General features: G+C 37.5%; 1 annotated feature.

Annotated features, from left to right (window-relative positions):
* Positions 1,977-2,146: an enhancer, noted in NCBI's record as "experimental_85179 CRE fragment used in MPRA reporter constructs". NCBI's record gives its function as "activates a minimal promoter by MPRAs in K562 erythroleukemia cells, with activity observed for both the introgressed and non-introgressed 5:42290564 variant alleles {active_cell/tissue: K562}" and the evidence as "EXISTENCE:reporter gene assay evidence [ECO:0000049][PMID:34662402]".

Genomic DNA, 2,392 nt, shown 5'->3' with positions numbered 1-2,392 from the left:
TAATCCCAGCTACTCAGGAGGCTGAGGCAGAAGAATTGCTTGAACCTGGGAGGCGGAGGTTGCAGTGAGCTGAGATCGCACCATTGCACTCCAGCCTGGGTGACAGAGTGAGACTCCGTCTCAAAAACAAACAAACAAACAAACAAACAACTTTTTGAGCCAAGATAGTGTCTACTGCTTAGGATAGCCTTCTGGGACACCACTATTGACAAGGAGGTTTAAAATTAAAGGGGAGGCATTTGGTTTAGCTTTATTAAATCTATAGTAGTGGTGAGATATCTGGGATAAATCGAAGTGACCTCTATAACAGCACAATTCAATGCTGTTGGATATGTGCTGTCCAATATGGTAGACATCAGTCACAGGTTGCTATTGAGGGCTTGAAATATAACTAGAGTGAGGGATTTAATTTTATAAACTTATAATTTATTTAAATTTAAATAGCACCATGAGAACAATGGCTGCCTGTATTAGTTTCCCATTATTGCTATAACAAATCATTATGGATGCAGTGACTCAAAACAACACATATATATTATCTTACAGTTCTGAGGTCAGAAGTCCAAAATGAGTCCTATGATGCTATAATCAAGGTGTTGGCAGAGCTGTGCTCTTTTCAGAGACTTCAGGGATAATCTGTTCAGCTTCTGGAGGCTGCCCGCATTCCTTGGCTCATGGCCACATCACTGCAATGTCTGATTTCATTGTCCCAATTATTTTTCTCTGATTCTAATTCTCCTGCCTCTTTTTTTTTCCTTTGTAAGGATGCTTATGATTACAGTAGGCCCACTTGAATAATCCAGAATAATTTCCCCCTCATCCTAAGGTCCTTAATCACATCTGCAAAGTCCCTTTTGCCATGTAACAAAATGTAGTCACAGATTCTGAGGATGAAGATGCAGACATCCTTGTAGGGGAGGATGTCTACTATACTCCTGTATTGGACAGTATGGCTCTAGAGAGAAGTCAGGACTGGGCAGAAAAATATCTGGAAGACTCGAAGGTACAGAGAGATATGTCAGAGATTCCTGGCTACAGAGATATAAATTATGATGTTAGCACTGTGAGAGGGTTATGAGAACCAATAGGAATCATGATGGAGGAGGGGTTTGTGATCTGAGAATTAGGCCCAGAGATGCACTTAAAAACAAAGTCAATATTTGCCTACTATCAAATTATCTGAAAATTCTGCGATGTTAGGCCAGACCAGATTCCTTACCAAAATTTCTGTACTCGATGATTTCCATCTAGTCAACTTTGTCAGTTGGAGCAGGCTATCATGGATTATTCATTAGCAGAAAGATGAGTGACTCTAAAGGAGTGGATTAGAATTTTACAAAGATGCTTCTTAGCCTTCCAAAGAAATCCTGAATGCTTCAAAATAAGTGCTTATTGCAATGTTGTTTCTGTTGCTTCAAACGTTTAAATGTTTCTGTATTGGACTTGCTTTTCAATCAGGCTTGCAAGAAATAATATCATTTTTATTATTTCATTCTAAAGTGTCATTTCTAACTAACTTATTATCATGTATTGTGATAAATCACCTTATTAATCATACTTGGCTTGTAATCATTTTTGTTATTTTCCTAAAAATAAATTCATCCTCATAGAATGAATATTTTCTGACACTCAAGATAGTCTTATAAAAATGTGCCATATCCTTGTCAAGGGACTCAAAAGAGGAGTTTCAAAATTATTTTGATCAATGAGAATATAATTTAAGATGCCACTTGAATATCCTTGAGTATCTTGAATATTCTAAAGTCATTATTGAGAGAGAAATAATATGAGCTGAACCATAATTTTTGGTGCATGTATTACAAATAATCAGTGCTATTATGATCAGATCTTGTATTCATTTCAATGGGACAATTTGATATAATAACCATGTACTGAGTACTCTATGTGCTGAAGATATAAAAATGCACAAAGAACAATTGCTGTCTGCCCTCTTATTATCTCATAGTCCAGTAATGGACACAAACAACAAAGTTTTCACTCTGAAAACTTATAGGACCTGAAGTGTTTCTTCCAGTTATAAATCTCTACTAAATACCACACCACTGTTATTTTTCATGTCTTTAGCACTTTACAGTTTACAGTAGCTTCATCTGCTTCCTAAGGTGTTACCAAATTGTATGTGAAGAATCTGAGACCTAGGAAAAGGAGGGGACTGCTGACCATCCCTTGGGCAGTAAAGGAGGAGAATTACTACCTGTACTCAATCTACTCATAACAAATCTTGGACCTTTATTCTGCAGTATTGCCACCCAAGTTAGAAAGGGATAAATGGCAGAGGTTAGGATTATGGGAGAGATTAGGATTATTATCGGAGTCCAGCGGAAGGAGGGCAGACTTGACTGGGAGAAATCAGAGAGGGTGTCATAGCTGA

This window comes from Homo sapiens, chromosome 5 (assembly GCF_000001405.40).
Source record: "Homo sapiens chromosome 5, GRCh38.p14 Primary Assembly".
Taxonomy (NCBI): Eukaryota; Metazoa; Chordata; class Mammalia; order Primates; family Hominidae; genus Homo; species Homo sapiens.
This window is presented reverse-complemented; position numbering and strand designations above follow the sequence as displayed.